The following is an 18,708-nucleotide window of genomic DNA, read 5'->3' as shown; positions in this document are numbered from 1 at the left end:
ACATCATTAATGCCTCCACATTAATTCCATGTTAAAATCTGGCTCAATAGCCTATGTTTGTACCAAGTTCACAAAATTCTCATGACAGGCACTGAAGGCCGTTAGAATCTCAGTGGGATGGTCATCACCGGTCATGGGCTGCTCAACAATCTCCTGAGACTGAACACACGCAGCAACATGTGGGTCAACCATGTCTTTACTCTCCTGCATTTATCCAAATGTGTGTCAGCCTGCCATGAGGGCCCCTCACTCGAAATCCACCTAGAATTCCTCCTTAGGAACTGACTTCTGAGCTATGCACAGAGATTGTCTTTGCTCAGAGGATAGTCTCCTTTGATCTGTTTTTCACTTTTCTCTTTTTCTTCCCTTCCTTGAGTATGCCCTTCCTCTTTCCTTTTCTCCTTTCCTCCTCTCTAACCTTCTTCCCTCCCTAACCTTTTTCAACACATTTTACCTAACTACTAAGTGCCAAGCACTGGGGATAGAAGATAAATAAAAAGCTATAGTAGAATATGTGACTACTGGGGTGGCTGAGGTGGGAGAATCATTTGAGACCAGGAGTTTAAGGATGCAGTGAGCTATGATGGTACCCATGAATAGCCACTGCACTCCAGCCTGGGTGACAGAGCCAGACCCCATCTCAAAAAAATAAAAAGAAAGAAAAAAAAGAGCATATGTGAGTAACAGATCTATAAACAAGGAAACCAAAAAATGTATTATCCCCTTTCTTTGCTCTTCAGCTCTTTATACTGATTCAAACCCAAGGGGCTTGCATAAGCCAGGCCAGCACTGGAAAAGATGCATACCAACTAGCTTTTTAACTCCTGCAGGTGGTTTGCCAAGAGACATGCCAGAGACAAACAGGGTATAAAACCAAGCATGGGACTGCCCTGGGATGAAGATATGAAAACAGAAATAAACAGGTACCTTTACTTTCACAATCTAAATTTAAAGATGGAATAGATTCAGATAGTTTTTTTGATAAATTCCTTGCTGTATAAACTCTTGCAACTTGCTATTCAAAAGCTAAGAACCAAATAGATTTGTAAAGAGATACTTGAATAAACTTCTATATATTCAATATTTTCATTCATTATTTTTTAAATTGACATTTTTCTGAAGAGAAAGTCCACAGCTCTTTTCCAATCTTCAGTGGGATTTGTAATCCCTCCAAATATTTAACCACTACTCCAACAATGCATTAGCTGCTATGATTATAGAAAGAAAAGCAGAAAACATATGTTGTAAAGAAAGTAGTTACCAGAATTACACTAGAAAAAAAATGGCAAGAACATGAATGAGTCAGCATGAGGGTATAACAGGCTAAGGGCATCAACTTCGAAGAGAAAATGAAATTATTTGGGTTGCCCTGGTAACACCAAGATAAAATGCGGAAATGAAAATGCGAGGTTTAACGCTAAGAAAACCTTCTTCAGCACTAGGGTCTCTCACATCACGGAATGAGCTTTACTATGGCAACACGCAAAAAGCATGTAAACGGATTAAATACAGAAAATATCCAAGGGAGTGAAAGCATGGTATTAATAATAAGAACTAAGCTGATATAATAACTATTCTGGACCTTTCTTTTCTTTGACTCACAGAATTAAATAAGGGGAATGGGAAAGGGTTTGCAGGGATCAAATGAGATTTTCTTCAGTGATATATAATCTTAAATAATTAAAAAAGTTAAACATTATGGATTATTTCCACCCACTCACTTTTCTGCAAATGACATAGAATCTCCACTCAAATATCTGGTTTTATTATAGGAAAAGGCAAAAGAAAAAAGAAACAAACATAAGAAATAGAAACATCCTCCTAGGTTACATTTTCCATGTCCAATCTCTACTTTTTTGGAGGAGATCTGTCATTGGTTATTAAGGCAATAAATGACTCCTCTCAAGGGCAGACAATCATATTAATATAGTACTAGAATATAAAAATAATACTTCAGAATCATAGTGGTTGGGAGCATGGCACTGAAGTCAGGGTGCCTGAGTCTGTATCCCGGCTCTGTCACTTGTAAGCTGGGTGACCACAAGAAACTTACTTAATCCTTCTGTTTTCTCATCTTGAGAATGGGGAAAAGAACAGTATCTTGCTTCACAGGATTGCTGGGGAAGCATGTAAGAGTGGCAAACACTAATCATGGTACTGGGCAGGAATTAGCACTCAATAGATGACAGCTACTAATATTAGCAATAGAGATGACAATCAAATTTGATAGCTATGATAATGACTTTATGATTTTTAAACATGTTATTTTGGTAAGAGCACAATATAAGATCTACCCGCTTAAAATTTTAAGCATACCATACAGTTTGGGTAACTATAGGTACAATGTTGTACAGCAGATCTTTAAAGCTTACTCATGTTGCAAACAGAAACTTTATGCCCATTGATTAGTATTAACAGCTCGCCATTTCCCCTCCCCCCAGCCCCTGGCAACCACCAGTGTTCTCTTTGATTTTATTAATTTGACTACTTTAGATACTTCACATATGGAATCACATATCTTTCTGTGACTGGCTTATTTCACTTATCAGAACGTCCTCATTCATCCATGTTGTCACATATTGCAGAATTTCCTGTTTTTTAAAGGCTGAGTAGTATTCCATTGTGTGTATATACTACATTTTCTTTTTCTATTCATCTGTCAATGGACATTTTGGTTATTTTTACATCTTGGTTATTGTGAATAATGAAGTTTACTTTTGAGAATAAGAATTTATCGGTGTTTGGAGACTTCTGTCCTAATTTGAGGTACCACACTAAAATAGAATTATTTATAAAAACAGAAGAAACAAAAAAATTGTGTTGGTTAAATAGGAAATAAAAGGTATATAATTGACATATAATGTTATCATGCTTACTAACTGCCAGACATTAAACATGTTATCTGTTGAACCTCCATATTAAATCCACGAGGTAGGTATTATCTTTTCTGTACAGAAGAGGAAACACACAAAGAGAGATTAAATAATTTCTCCAAGATTGGAAAGCCTGTGAAGGGCATAGCAAAAATTCCACCTCAGGGCTTTCAGATTCCAATGTCCAAGCTCATTTCATTTAAAGAGGGAAATTATTTTAGTCTCTAACAATCTCCTTTACGGGAAATTCAGACTTGATATCCATTGGCAAAAGGACCTATTTGGAAATTCACCTCTTTCAGGATTGCATTCAGGGCAATCATATTTGTGACTTGAACACTGTAGCCTAAAATCTGACACTGAGAGAAATCCAGTCTGAGGAATGATCTTTTTAGAAGTTATAAAGGATTCCGCTTCTGTCCATGAAGGAGTCACTAGGGTGAAACTTATCCTTCTATAATAAATAGCTAAAAAAATAAAATTTTACCAGAGCCACTGAAGCTCTTTTGTGTTATGCTCTTGGTTATACCTGTTTTTCATTTGATGCTAAATCCTTGGGTGGAGAATGCAGTCCCCAAATATTGCACTGTTCCAATCTCCTTTAGGGGGATCTGTATGTGATTTCCAAGAACTTGGTGCAGCAAAACAGCAAGAACCTTCTGTGCTGAGAATTTGAATGCTGGGAAATGTATACCAAATCAAAACAGAAGGACAGTGAGTACTTACTTCCTTTTCATGGTTCAAATTAATATAATCAAGATACTTAAGTATTTAACCATCTTTTACCCCATGACATTTATCATTTCCTTTCCCTGATGTTTCAGCTAAGTGTTTTGCTTTATTGTAGATATGCCAACAAAGAACATTCATTTTTCTAAGACTGGTTCAAATGCTCACTGTTTTTTAAAATTATTATTATGACTTTGCACTTCTGGCTTCTCCATTCAGGTCCCACAATGTTTCCAGAAGCAGGAAATGGAAAATACTTTAGGTAAACTTTATGTAAAACATTCTCACGGGTACCTAAAGTCTCTTTCTAACCCATGGGTTGACAGCTTGAGTTTTGCCAACTAACTCACTCTTGATGTTAAGACATATCAAAACATAGCAAACCACTTTAAAGTTTTAGCTCTTTTAAGGGAATGTGGCTTAGGATGTGATTTCCCAGCAACCTGAGTTCCAAGGCTCAAATGCCTTCAGCTTAGATTTTCCTCATCCCATCAAACACTGCCCAGAAAGTAGCTCTATTACTGCTCTGCTTTGTATTTTACCTTAATTTCTTCCTCCCACTGCCCTAGGTTTACTCCTTTTTTAGTTTTTCCCAATATAAGTAACTCGTGCTCTAGCTGATGGATTGGGTGTGAGGTTTGAGAGAGAAGAATCATTATGAGTCCAATATTTTTAAGTTGAGAAGCTGAAATAATGGAGTTGCCATTTTATAAAGGGAGTGAGAGGCTACAGAAAGTAGGTTTAGGGAGTGGGGAATAAGGAGTTTGGATAGAGACATCTGAAATCTGAGATGTCTACTAGACACCCAAGTGGAGGGGCTCCACAAACAGCTGGATACACTGGACTAGAGATAGGAAAGATCTGGGATAGAGATAGAAGTTTGGGAGTCATTAGGGTTATAAAAAGTGATAGGATGAAACCACCTAGGCAGCATATAGAGAGGAGAAAACGGTCTAAGGACTTCCTGCAGCAAGGAGCATTCTGCCACCAGATATTGGCATGAATATTGTTTTCTCACTTCCTTCAGGTCTCTGCACATATATCATTATTGGAGACACCTTTTCTGGCTACCCTATTGAAAATATTAATACCAACTCACCAAAAGCAAGAGCATGCCATCCCAGCACTCCCTTTTTCATTCCCTAAGTTGCTTTCCTCAATAGCATTATCTTTATCAGATGTACTATACGGGTATTACTCATTTAGTTATACTTCTATCTCTCTGCTGCATCATAAGGTAAGCTCCCTAAGAAATGGGGACTTTGTTTTGTTCACTCCTGTCTCCCAGAGCCTAGAACAGTATCTGGCACATAAAAGGTACTCAATAAGTAATTGCTGAACCAATGAAATGAGAAATGAGCATCTACTTAACCTGAAATTCTTCCAGTTATTAAAATGAATAACAGAAATGTTTATGTGACTAACAGAAATTAGAGTAAGGTGCACTTGGTTTTGGGGAAGAGAACACCAGATTTCTTTTGTACTACTCTGCATTTTCTCATGATACCTGCACCCTGTTTAGGGGCAAAGAGGAAGCAAAGAAGTCAAAGAGGCCACCTGAGAGATCTGCATGGAGCTGGAAAAGGACAATTCTATCTTATTTAGAGAGTTGGGAGAAGGAACAAAGGAGAGGAGTGGGACAAGAACTGTCCTGGGCCTCATTTGTTTTGAATCATGGGCTTCTTTATATATATATATTTTTGTTAAAGTTCTAGTGTACATGTGCACAAGGTGCAGGTTTGTTACATATGTATACGTGTGCCATGTTGGTGTGCTGCACCCGTTAACTCGTCTCCTTTATATTATTAACAGTATCATGTTTTTTCCTCTACTCACATTGCCGGCCTCTGTCAACTTCCAGGGACCTACCATGGAATAAGGTAAAGACTGCAAGAAGGGAATGTACATGTTTATTAAGCAACAGCAGTGCAATAGCAATCATTGATCATTTGGGTCAAAATGCAGTCATATGTTGCTTAATAATGGGGATACGTTCTGAGAAACGCATCATTAGGCAATTTTGTCGTGTGGATGTCATAGAGTGTACTTATACAATCCTAGACGGTATAGCCTACTACGCACTTTGGCTATAGGGTTTGGCCTCTTGCTCCTAGGCTATAAATCTGTACAGCATTTTCCTGTACTGAATCCTGTAGGTAACTGCAACATAATAGTAAGTATTTGTGTATCGAAACATAGGAAAGGTAAAATAAAAATGTATAAAAGATTAAAAATAGTACACCTGTATAGGGTACTTACCATGAATGGAGTTTGCAGGACTGGAAGTTGCTCTGGATGGGTCAGCAAGTGAGTGATGAGTGAATGTGAGGGCCTAGGATGTTACTTTGCACTGCCGTAGACTTTATAATAAACACTGTACACCTAGGCTACACTAAATTTATAAAAAAAATTTTTCTTTCTTCAACAATAAGCTGTAGGTTACTGCAACTTTTTTGCTTTTTAAACTTTAAACATTCTTTATAACTTTTTGATGCTTTCATAATAACATTTGGCTTAAAACACAAACACATTTTATAGCTGCGCAAAAATATATTTTATTCCTTATTCAATAAGTTTTTTGCTATTAAATTATTATATTTTGCTTTTTAAATTTTTTAACTAAAAACGAAGACGCCAACATGTATATTAACCTAGGCCTACACATACACAAATCAATAAACATAATCCATCACATAAACAGAACCAATGACAAAAACCACATGATTATCTCAATAGATGCAGAAAAGGCCTTCAACAAAATTCAACACCCTTTCATGCTAAAAACTCTCAATAAACTAGGTATTAATGGAATGTATCTCAAAATAATAAGAGCTATTTATGACAAACCCACAGCCAATATCATAATGAACGGGCAAAAGCTGGAAGCATTCCCTTTGAAAACTGGCACAAGACAAGGATACCCTCTCTCACCACTCCTATTCAACGTAGTATCGGAAGTTCTGGCCAGGGCAATCAGGCAAGAGAAAGAAATAAAGGATATTCAAATAGGAAGAGAGGAAGTCAAATTGTCTCTGTTTGCAGATGACATGATTGTATATTTAGAAAACCCCATCATCATCTCCTTAAGCTGATAAGCAACTTCAGCAAAGTCTCAGGATACAAAATCAATGTGTAAAAATCACAAGCATTCCTATACAGCAATAATAGACAAACAGCCAAATCATGAGTGAAATCCCATTCACAATTACTACAAAGAGAATAAAATACCTAGGAACACAACTTGCAAGGGATGTGAAGGATCTCTTCAAGGAGAACTACAAACCACTGCTCAAGGAAATAAGAGAGAACACAAACAAATGGAAAAACATTCCATGCTCATGGATAGAAAGAATCAATATCGTGAAAATGGCCATACTGCCCAAAGTAATTTTATAGATTCAATGCTATCACTGTCAAGCTACCATTGACTTTCTTCACGTAATTAGAAAAAACTGCTTTAAATTTCATATGGAACCAAAAAAGAGCTCACATAGCCAAGACAATCCTTAGCAAAAAGAACAAAGCTGGAGGCATCACACTACCTGACTTCAAACTATACTACAAGGCTACAGTAATCAAAACAGCATGGTACTGGTACCAAAACACAAATATAGACCAATGGAACAGAATAGAGGCCTCAGAAATACCACCACACCTCTACAACCATCTGATCTTTGACAAACCTGACAAAAATAAGAAATGGGGAAAGGGTTCCCTATTTAGTAAATGATGTTGGGAAAACTGGCTAGCCGTATGCAGAAAACTGAAACTGCACCCCTTCCTTACACATTATACAAAAATTAACTCAAGATAGATTAAAGACTTAACTGTAAGACATAAAACCATAAAAACCCTAGAAGAAAATCTAGACAATACCATTCAGGACATAGGCATGGGCAAAGACTTCATGACTAAAACACCAAAAGCAATGGCAACAAAAGCCAAAATTGACAAATGGGATATAATTAAACTAAAGAGCTTTTGCACAGCAAAAAACAAACAAACAAACAAACAAAACTGTTATCAGGGTGAACAGGCAACCTACAGAATGGGAGAAATTTTTTGCAATCTATTCATCTGACAAAGGGCTAATATCCAGAATCTACAAAGAACTTAAACAAGTTTACAAGAAAAAAATCAACACCATCAAAAAGTGGGCAGAGGATATGAACAGACACTTCTTAAACGAAGACATTTATGCAGCCAACAAACATGAAAAAAAGCTCATCATCACTGGTCATCAGAGAAATGCAAATAAAAACCACAATGAGATACCATCTCACACCAGTTAGAATGGCGATCATTAAAAGTCAGGAAACAACAGATGCTGGAGAGGATGTGGAGAAACAGGAACGCTTTTACACTGTTGGTGGGAGTGTAAATTAGTTCAACCATTGTGGAAGACAGTGTGACAATTCCTCAAGGATCTGGAACTGGAAACACCATTTGACCCAGCAATCCCATTACTGGGTCTATGCCCAAAGGATTATAAATCATTCTACTATAAAGACACATGCACATGTATTTTTTTTTTTTTTTTTGAGACAGAGTCTCGCTCTGTCGCCCAGGCTGGAGTGCAGTGGCGCAATCTCGGCTCACTGCAAGCTCTGCCTCCCGGGTTCACACCATTCTCCTGCCTCAGCCTCCCGAGTAGCTAGGACTACAGGTGCTGGCCACCAAGCCCGGCTAATTTTTTGTATTTTTAGTAGAGGTGGGGTTTCACTGTGTTAGCCAGGATGGTCTCGATCTCCTGACCTCATGATCCGCCCGCCTCTGCCTCCCAAAGTGCTGGGATTACAGGCATGAGCCACCGCGTCCGGCCACATGTGTGTTTATTGCAGCACTCTTCACAATAGCAAAGACTTAGAACCAACCCAAATGCCCATCAATGATAGACTGGATAAAGAAAATGTGGCACATATACACCATGGAATACTATGTAGCCATAAAAAAGGCTGAGTTCATGTCCTTTGCAGGGACATGGATGAAGCTAGAAACCATAATTCTCAGCAAACTAACACAAGAACAGAAAACCAAACACTGCATGTTCTCACTCATAAGTGGGAGTTGAACAATGAGAACACATGGACACAGGGAGGGGAACATCACACACTGGGACCTGTCAGGGGATGGGAGGCTGGGGAAGGGATAGCATTAGGAGAAATACCCAATGTAGACGACGGGTTGATGGGCACAGCAAAGCACCATGGCACGTGTATACCTATGTAACAAACCTGCAGGTTCTGCACACGTATCCCAGAACTTAAAGTATAATAATTAAAAAAAAGAAACATAGGAAAATAATATCTACCCCATGGCGGGGGCTGAAAACACAATACTAAATTTGTGGTATTCAAGAGTCAGACAGTTAACCTTTTGCTATAACTAGCATTATTCAGGTCCCTTACTGGAGTTTAGGGCTCTATTTTAAGAGGAATATCAAAAAATATTACATAGACATAAGGGCAAAAAGTTTTACCTACAAAAATATATTCAGATTCCAACGATTTCTGACCCATCTTAGCTGCTACCCCGATCCAAGCCACCATCATCTCTCAATTAGATTATTGCAAGATTATTGCAATATCTTCCTGATTAGTCTCTCCACTTCTACCAATGACCCCTAGAGAGTCATCTCAAGTGAGCAACCAGAATGATCCTGGGTTTCTTCTCCATTCAAAATCCTCTAATAATTCTCCATCTCACTCTGTGAAAAAGCGAAAATCTTTACAAAAGTCCTAAAAGGCCCTCTGCAATCTCACTCCCACCCCACACCAGTCTCATAGCCCTCTCCTGCACACTCGCTTTGCTCCAGCCACACTGGGCCTTCTAGCACAAGCTTGTCCAATCTGTGGCCTGCAGACCACTTGTGGCCCAGGATGGCTTTGAATATGACCCAACAGAAATTTGCAAGCTTTCCTTTCCTAAAACATTATGAGATTTTGTGATTTTTTTTCTTTTAGCTCATCAGCTATCATTAATGTATTTTATGTGTGGCCCAAGACAATTCTTCTTCTTCAAGTGTGTCCCAGGGAGGCCAAAAGATCGGATGCCCCTGTTAGAGTGGTTTCTTGGCACCCCAGGTTCACTCCTGCTTTTGCATTTGCAACAGCTCTGTCTGGAATTCTCATCTTCCTGGTATCTGCAGGGCTCAATCCTTCACCTTCTTTAGGCCTTGCTGAAATTTACCCAGATTGCAACCACTTTTCACCATTTCTATCACTACTCCTCTGGTCCAAGCCTTCACCCTCCTCTTGTTTAGATAATACTGCAAAGCCAATTTAATATCACACCATATCTCAGCCATAGCACTCCCTTTCCTCCTGCCCTGCCTTATTTTTCTCCATAGCACTTAACACCTTTGAACATACTATATATATTTTAGCTAATTATGCATTTCCTTTTCTCTCTCCTCCCACTTGAATGCAAGTCCCAGGAGGGCAGAAATTTTTGCCCAATTTGCAAAATGTTTTGTCCCTAATGCCCAGAAGAGTGTCTGGCCCATATTTGTCATTCACCAGATATCTGTTAATTAGAAGAGTAAAGTGGTAGAAACAGAACCTATCAAGAAACACTATGGAGATACTACTTAGGCCAGAGCCTGGTGGCTAGGCTGGTTCTCTCCTTTCCAATCGGAGGCCTCTTCAGCAAACATGCTCCACCACATCATCACTCAGTCCAAGAAGCATCTAAGCTTGATCTCCCTCTTTGTATTCATTGGAGCTGGAGGTACTGGAGCAGCACTGTATCTCGTGTCTGGCATTGTTCAATCCAGATGTTAGTTGGGACAGAAAGAATAATCCAGAGCCCTGGAACAAACTGGCTCCCAATGATCAATACAAGTTCTACTCAGTAATTGTGGATTACAGCAAACTGAAGAAAGAAGGTCCAGATTTCTAACAAATGTTTCACTATAAAGCTGCTTTAGAATGAAGGTCTTCCAGAAGCCATCCACACAATTTTCCGCTTAACCAGGAAATACTTCTCCTCTAAATGCATGAAATCATGTTGATGTAATCTATTGGCGATTGCACTGATTAGTAAATAACTGAAACTTGGAAAACAAAACAAAACAAAAAGAAACACTATGTAAATTGAGACAAGCAAAGGAATACAAAAGGCTACCAGAGGAGTCCAGAGCCTGGATGTCCATGGATAGACTTCAGTGCCAAATACAAAATGTTTCAACTTTGCACATTACAGGCTTTAAACTGCTGCATGAGAGATTTAGGAAGAAACAACCCATTGTTAAATGACCAAATAAATGGTTACAGGACGAAATCTGAGGGTTGGTCATGCCAAGGAGATGTGAAAAATAGGACAGTGAATCATGTTTTGATGGTGAGCTTGCTGTCTGGAGGCAGGGTGCTGGATGAGAAAGGTTCTTTTGCTCCACTAGGAGCTTAAGATGAGTATTTCTCCAGGAGCCAACATTACTTACTGAAATGCAGAAAGTGCACATGTTTTCAAAGGGAAAACACATGGACTGGTATTAAATTAATAACTTCTGATTGGAAAACTTGTTGACAGAATTTGGCTGAGCTAGTCTCCTGAAATTTATTAGGGAACATCTGGGGGGAAATAAAACCTAGGATAGGGAGGAAGAGTGGCTCTCAACCTTGGCTGCACATTGGAATCATCTGGAGAGTTTTAAAAACACTGATGCCTGGGTGCAGTTAAATCAGAACCGCTGGGGTGGGGCCCAGGCATGAGGTTTTTGTTTTGTTTTGTTTTAGAGGTCCTCAAGTGATTCCAACATGTAGGTGAGGTTGAGACCTATTCTCCCCAAAACATCTGTTTCTTCTGTTTGTGATAAAAAGTACAGCTACGCACTAAGTGAGGTCTTAGGGAAAAACCAGAGCTTTATCTGGGCCTATCAAAGGCAGGGTTTACTCACTTAAAATGATTTCAGTACTCCATGAATTTATATTTTAATATCACATCTTTGGTTAATACTTACCTGGACACCACCCATTCCCAGATCACCACATCAGGACTGTCAGGCTTCCCCACACAGCCCACCCTCTCTCAAGAAGAGCACGCTGCTTGGATAATATTTGAAGGGGTCTCAGACCACAGCTGCAGTGTCCTATTTTGGAAGCCCGTGGCTGAGTATTTTCATAAGCAGTCCAAGATCAACACTTTCCTACTTGCTCTCTTCACCTCTTCACTCCCCTGGGTTATTTATATTCTCAACTATCTCCATTCCCACACTGTAAATTCTGTAAGGGCAGAGACCAGGTTGCTCATTTTGGCATGCCCAGCCCCTGACCTAGTTGTCTGAGCAGTAACACTTTTGCATGACACAGAGCTAGTCCACATGTACAGCAATGATTTACCTCTCAAAACAGTTTCTCAATGTAGATGATCCTTTGAACATTAAAACTGTAGTTCTGATGGGGTCCATATTTATAAGCATTTTATTTTAGAGTAACAGTTCATTACCATTTTATTGACAGTTTTATTAACAGTAACAATTAATTACTGTTACTGTAAAATGAAGTTCTCTTTATGTATAAAGGAAAACCCCACCTCCATCATAACACGAGCTAAGGTTTACTGTGTACTTAGAAGTGTCAGGAGCATCATACATATTACATTACTTAACGCCCAAATATCTCTGGGCTCCAGGTACTATAAGCCTACTCTTACTCAAGAAATGGAGGCTTAGGAAGGTCAATATCTTGCCTGGGGTTACAGAGCAGTAAGCAGAGGGGCCTGCATACAACCCAGGTAATCTGTTTTTAGAACTGGTTAATCTAAGTCACTAAACCTAACATTCCGTAACAGAACAAAACAATTGAAAACTGAGTTGAATTCCTTCTTGAATGAATATAGGAATTAGTTAGGAGGAAAGGGTATTTTCCTTTACAGAAGTGTTTCATAAAAACTGGGATAGCTGGGCTGACACAGTCTAGCTACTTGGGAGGCTAAAGCAGGAGGACTGCTTGAGCCCCAGAGTTTGAGACCAGACTGGGTAACATAGTAAGACTTCATCACAGACACACACACACACACACACACACACACACACACACACACACACACAAAAAAAAAAAAAACCTGGAGAAGACACAACCTAAAATTTCCTATTAACTCTCATTATAATATCAGAGACACTTTTAAATATATATCATACTTAGAGTGTAATATACACATACTCAGATACTTTTTTTAAAAATTTGTTTGCTTTTCCATTAGCAGTGGCTCCTAATTCTTTGGCTATAAATCTTTTAGCTCTATAGCCTCTTGGTCAGGCGCTTATAAACTTTAAAGAATTTAAACAGTGGAATCTACACTTCACCCAATAGCTAAATGAGAGTACAGGTAGTTCATTTCCCTGTCAGAAATGTGCCTGTTTTCAGCATATGGTACATACATATTTTCAAGAAACATTTTATAGTTTATCACTCAGAATGAAAAATAATGACACAAATGTTAAATTTTATATCAATTGTGTAGTTTTGGAAAGATAATGAGGATTTCCTAAATCCTGTTCATAGGTGATCCTGATATAAAAATAGAAATGGTATTTAGGTATAATCTTCCTTAAAATGAGGACATAGCTGCATATTTTTAAAATGTAGTGATTCTACCACCTGCCCCATTTCCACTACATAAAATGCCTTGGCGTCTGAGATGTTGAGATATGAATAATTACTATTTTAAAACTTTACTGAGCCTCAGAATTTTTAAAGCCTTTTTTAGATTATATTCTAAAAACAAATATATTTTCAAACAGTCTTCATTCCAGGTTTCCAAGCAAACACACCCGAATAAGTTAATATTTCAGACCCTTAGGCTGTTTTCAAATGCTATATTTAACATGCTTATATGATCACTCAAATAATTTTGATTCAGTTCAAATATGTCAACAGGAAGAGGTCGGGCAGAAATATAAAAATTCTAAGCAAAGTCATTCTGAGACTCAAACAACTCCAATACCAGAAACGCTAGTTAAACCAAACAGTAGTGTGGCCAAAGAACATCAAGGGAAACTGCTGTTTTCAAGATTTGTGGTTTCCTTATATAAAGAACCTATTCTGCTCTTGGATGTGGCACAAGGGGGCTTTTTGAAAGCATGGTATATTTCAATAAAAAAACAAATCATAGTCAAGCTGAGTAAATGTAAAGTTACACACAGTCATACACTTCATTCCTGAGATCCTCTGGAAGTAAATCTGCTGCTTAACATTAATGACACGTCTTATCAACTATGTTTTTGTTTATAAAATATTCTAATATGTACATGACTCCAGTTCAGGTTTAAAATTTTTCCCTTCTTTTGAAGAATAGGTCCCCTGAAAATTTTTCAGAAATTCTTAGTAACTTTTCATTATACTAAGCATCTTTTTTTTTTTTTTTTTTTTTGATACAGAGTCTCACTCTGTCACCCAGGCTGAAGTAAGTGGCGCAATCTGAGCTCACTGCAACCTCTGCCTCCCGGGTTCGAGCAATTCTCCTGCCTCAGTCTCCCAAGTAGCTGGGACTATAGGCGTGTGCTACCACGCCCAGATAATTTTTGTATTTTTAGTAGAGACGGGGTTTCACCATATTGGCCAGGCTGGTCTCGAACTCCTGACCTCATGATCTGCCTGCCTCGGCCTCCCAAAGTGTTGGGTATACAGGTGTGAGACACCATGCTCAGCCATACTAAGCATCTTCTAAACCACAATGGTCACTACTTCCTGGGCCCACTACCACGTTAGGCAAACCATTCATAAAGACAGGATATGTTGCTATTTAGGATACCAACAATATAGTAATAGCACTTTAATACAAAATTTTAATTTTGTACAAATTCTCTTCCTATGAACTGATTACAGTTTTGTACACTTAGGGTGATATGAAGTCCTTAGTCCAAGGCAATATATGTCAACAGTAAAACAAACAAAAAAGACTCCTGTTATTGCCTTAGATGTATATACTACTACCTCATTGGACATCTGCATTTTCAGAATTCTAAGTTTAGTCATAAGCGGTCACATTAATCTAAAAAATAAAAATAAAAGGAAGCCATCTCTACTCACCATTTTGTATAATATAATGAAATAGTTACAATGTATGTTTTATAGCCAGAAAGACGTAGGTTTGAAATCTAGCTCTATGGCTACTAGCTAGTGACTTTGGGCAGGTTATTTAACCCCTTTGAATCATGCACACTTGGATAAGTAGCCGGCAGTAAATGTGAAAATTGTCAACTACATTATTTAATTAAGAAAATATTTCCAGACTTCTTGCTTTTTAGAACAATGTTTGTATTGTTTAATAAACTTTGAATAAAAAAAATAGCTAGGCTTCTCTCTTGGGAATCTTCTGGATTCTAAAAAATCCAATTTACTGTATGTTCCACTATATCTGCTGTTCATGGAAAGTGCCGAACAGTACCCCCAAATTGTGGTGTCCTCTTGAAAACATTTGCTATTTTTTCCATTGCCTCAAGAATTGCCTCAAGGCCAATTCCTCCCAATCAATTATCTGTAACTCCATGTGTTACCTATGCTTGTTGCATGGATATATAGAAACCAAACTCTGTGAAATGCCAAACTGCCCCAATTCTTGAATTACATGCCTGGAAACCCAGAGGTCTCAAATGTGCATTTCTACTAGATTCCCCACTGACTATGTGACTCTTTGAGCTTACTCAGTACCTAGCATCTCTAGAGCATGACCTGAAGTTTTAAGAAAGCCTCGATAGCTAATACCAATAATGATAAAGTTAATGAACAGGTGCTTAAGAGCAAGGGCCCATCCCCACCCCACACCTGACAGGCAGTTAGACCCGATGATGTGGAGATTGCCAGCTTATGGAAGGGCTGTTCCTCTGACCACTGCGATCCAGAAACACAGCTGCCTTTATAGGGTCTACAGGATGGTTAGCAGCTGAGGCTGAGGAAACTAGCTGCAATCTGTGAGATAAACATGTCCCCTCAAGGGAGAGTTCTTGGAAGGTGAGTTATACAATCTTCAGGAAAGTTCACTGAAAGAGCCCTCATGTTGAATCTTTGTTGTGAGCTACTACAATGTCCCTGTGCTCTTTGTACCTCTCGCTGTAAGATGGCAGCATCACAGTCGAGACACAGCTGCTTGTTTTCCAGTATTTAGCCTCTCCTTTTTACGTAATAATAAAGTACATGTTCCAGCCCCCTTGAAGGCAGGTATGGTGTGGGACTTAGTCCTAGCCAATGGCATATAAACAGAAAAGATGAACTCAACTTGGAGTTGTGTCCTTAAAGGAGCCCTCCATATACCTTCCTCCCCACCTCTGAGATGGGATGCAGGCTTAGTATTAATCATCTTCAACAGACAAGTAAGGGATACATGTTAGCAAGGGTAGTAAGGAGATCTTTAAGAGTTGTTTAGGTCTTGAGGGTTCTGCCCTCATGCATGCATTAGTGTTATCTTGGGAGTCGATTTGCCCCCTCTGGCTCTTGCTCTCTCTAGCTCTTTGCCATTCCACCATGTGATGGCTTCTGCCATATGATAATGTTACAAGAAGGCCCTCACCAGATGCCTGCACCTTGATATTGGGATCCCAGCCTTCAGAACTGTAAGCCCAAAATTTTATATTCATTATGAATTATCCAGTCTTGGTATTCTGTTATAGCAGCACAAAACAAACTAAGACATTTGAAGACACAGATATAGATCATCAGTCATTTGAGGAATGCCTCCAACTGAAAGACAGATATAAATAAGACAAATACACAATCAAAGGAACAAATAAAGACACACTAAAACCGAAAGTAAAGCAGAGAGCAGGAGTTCACACTTAAAAACTTCCCAACTATAATTAATATTCTCAGAGAGCTAGCAAGAGATACTGTATTTATAAAATAAACACACCGAAAAGAACTTGGAAATTAAAAATAAGATAATGAAAAAATCAGCATAAGGTTAGATAATGTTGATGAAATTCATCTTAAAGTAGAAAAAAAACAGACGGGGAAAAATAATATACAGACACCAGATTCAATGTTTGAATAATGGAAATTAACTAAAGAGTGAAAGGAGAAAATGACACAGAGGTATCAAGAAGAGAGTGCAAGAAAAATTTCCCAAACTGTAGGACATGGGACTTCATATTAAAAAGGCTGCTGACTAGCTGGGCATGGTGGCTCATGCCTGTAATCCCAGCTACTCAAGAGGCTGAAGAAGGAGGATCACTTGGGCCTAGGAGTTCAAATCCAGTCTGGGCAACATAGCAAGACCTTGTCTCAAAAAAAAAAAAAAAAAGGCTTACTAAAGTGCTAGCACACAATGAATTAATAAAGACCCATACTGTCATGAACATTGGGGATAATGAGAAGATCCTAAAAGCTTGGAGGAGGCAGCAAATAGAGAGGGTAAAAGGGTGCATACAAAGAAACAAAAGTCAGATCAGTATTACACTTTTCACCAACAATATTGTATGCCAGAAAATAGTTGTAAAAAGCCTTCAAATTCTTAGTGAAAGTGGTTGTCAATGTAGAGTTTAGTACCCAACCAAACTAACTTTCAAATTTGAGAGTAGAATAAATAGTGTATTTCAGACATAGAAGGACACAGAAAATTTATTTTTATGTATTCTCTCCTTAAAAAGTATTGAGGAATATAAAGGGAGTAAGACACCCATCCCCTGAATTGAGACTTAAATATCCAGCTGCCAACTTGACATTTCCAACTGGAAGTTTAGTAGACATTTCTCTTTTTTTTGTATAAATTTAAAGGGTACACGTGCAATTTTGCTACATGGCTATACTGGGTAGTGGTGAAGTCTGGGATTTTAGTGTAACCATCACCTGAATAATGTTCATTGTACTTATTAAGCAATTTCTCATCCCTTAGCTGCCTCCTCACTTCTACCCTTCCAAGTCTCCAATGTCTATTATTCCACTCTATGTCCATGTGTTCACATTATTTAGCTCCTACTTCTCAATGAAAACATACACTATTTGTTTCTGAGTTGTTTCACTTAAGAAAATGGCCTCCAGTTCTATCCATGTTCTATCATGTCTATCCATCAAAAGACATGATTTCATCCTTTTCCATGGATGAATAATATTCCATTGTGTATATATATTGAATAATATTCCATTGTGTATATATACCACATTTTCTTTATCCAGTCATCCATTGATGGACACTTAGATTGATTCCATATCTTTGCTGTTACGAATGATGCTGCAATAAACATACAAGTGCGGGTAGCTTTTTGATATAATGATTTATTTTCCTTTGGGTAGATACCTAGCAGTGATACTGCTGGATTGAAATTAACGAGTCCAAAATAATTGTTAATTTCACTCCAAATCTGCTATTTCCACAACCATCCATATTTCAGTACATAGGAAATCCATCTTTGCAGGTCCTCTGGGTCAAAACCTTGGAGTCAATTTTTAATTTTTTTCTCTCACATTCAGGTCTATTCTGTTAGCAAAACCTGCAGGCTCAATCTTTAAAATCTATCTAGAATCTAACCAGTTCTCCCTACCTTTTCTGCTATAACCCAAGGCACCAGCATGTCTCATTTGTTTTATTATAATAGGTTCCATCCTTGTCTCTTACAGTTAGTCTACTCTTTACCATTGTTTCTCACAGTGTGCCTTTTTGGGGAATCAGTGAGGTCAAAACTATTTTCACAAGAATACTAAACATTATTGGCCTTTTAAATTCATTGTCTTGTGACTGCACAGTGAAGCTTTCTAGAGGCTACATGATACATGACAGTGAACAGACTGATTGCCAGACATTAAAGACATTTGCAAAAACTTAAACACTGACATCTTTTTGTTCTTTTGTTTTGGAAAATATAATTTCAAAACATATGTTACTTGTGTTAACATTCAGTGGCATTATTGTTATTTTAAAATTAATAAATAATCAGATTTACATTTCTGAGCTCTTAGGGGTTAGAGCTCTTTGGAATTTTCAATAATTTGAGTACAAATGCCCTGAGACCAAAAGGTTGGCTAATGATTGCTCTATACCACAGCCAGAGTGATCCTTTGAAAACGCAAGTCAGATTAAGAACTCTCTAATGGTTCCTCATCTCATTCAGAGTAGAGGTGGACAAGACACTTCATGAGCCTACAGCACCCTCTCTTAACGACCACTCTCCCTATTG

The 18,708-nt window shown here is 38.2% G+C and overlaps 1 protein-coding gene and 1 pseudogene across 5 annotated transcripts in view, besides 1 other annotated feature; one reads left to right on the top strand and one right to left on the bottom strand.

The window, feature by feature from the left end:
- Nucleotides 1-18,708, bottom strand: part of LRRC8C (leucine rich repeat containing 8 VRAC subunit C) — a 103,710-nt gene that overhangs the window by 47,821 nt on the left and 37,181 nt on the right. For 2 of the 5 annotated variants that reach the window (XM_006710960.5, XM_011542283.3), the window contains exon 1: nucleotides 3,403-10,389. The exons of the other annotated variants lie outside the window; for them this stretch is intronic. In XM_006710960.5, the coding sequence (XP_006711023.1) occupies nucleotides 3,403-3,413 (11 nt within the window). In that variant the 5' untranslated portion in view covers nucleotides 3,414-10,389. Of the gene's footprint in view, nucleotides 1-3,402; nucleotides 10,390-18,708 lie in introns of those variants that run through there. 5 annotated transcript variants of the gene reach the window in all.
- Nucleotides 10,180-10,660, top strand: LOC100505788 (cytochrome c oxidase associated subunit FA4 pseudogene; annotated as a pseudogene).
- Nucleotides 13,563-13,622: a silencer, noted in NCBI's record as "silent region_1055". NCBI's record gives its function as "represses an Ori minimal core promoter by ATAC-STARR-seq in GM12878 lymphoblastoid cells {active_cell/tissue: GM12878}" and the evidence as "EXISTENCE:reporter gene assay evidence [ECO:0000049][PMID:35858748]".

The sequence above is a fragment of the Homo sapiens genome, chromosome 1 (assembly GCF_000001405.40).
Source record: "Homo sapiens chromosome 1, GRCh38.p14 Primary Assembly".
In the NCBI taxonomy this organism is placed as follows: Eukaryota; Metazoa; Chordata; class Mammalia; order Primates; family Hominidae; genus Homo; species Homo sapiens.
Note: the sequence above shows the minus strand (reverse complement) of the source record. Positions and strands in the feature narration are given on the sequence as shown.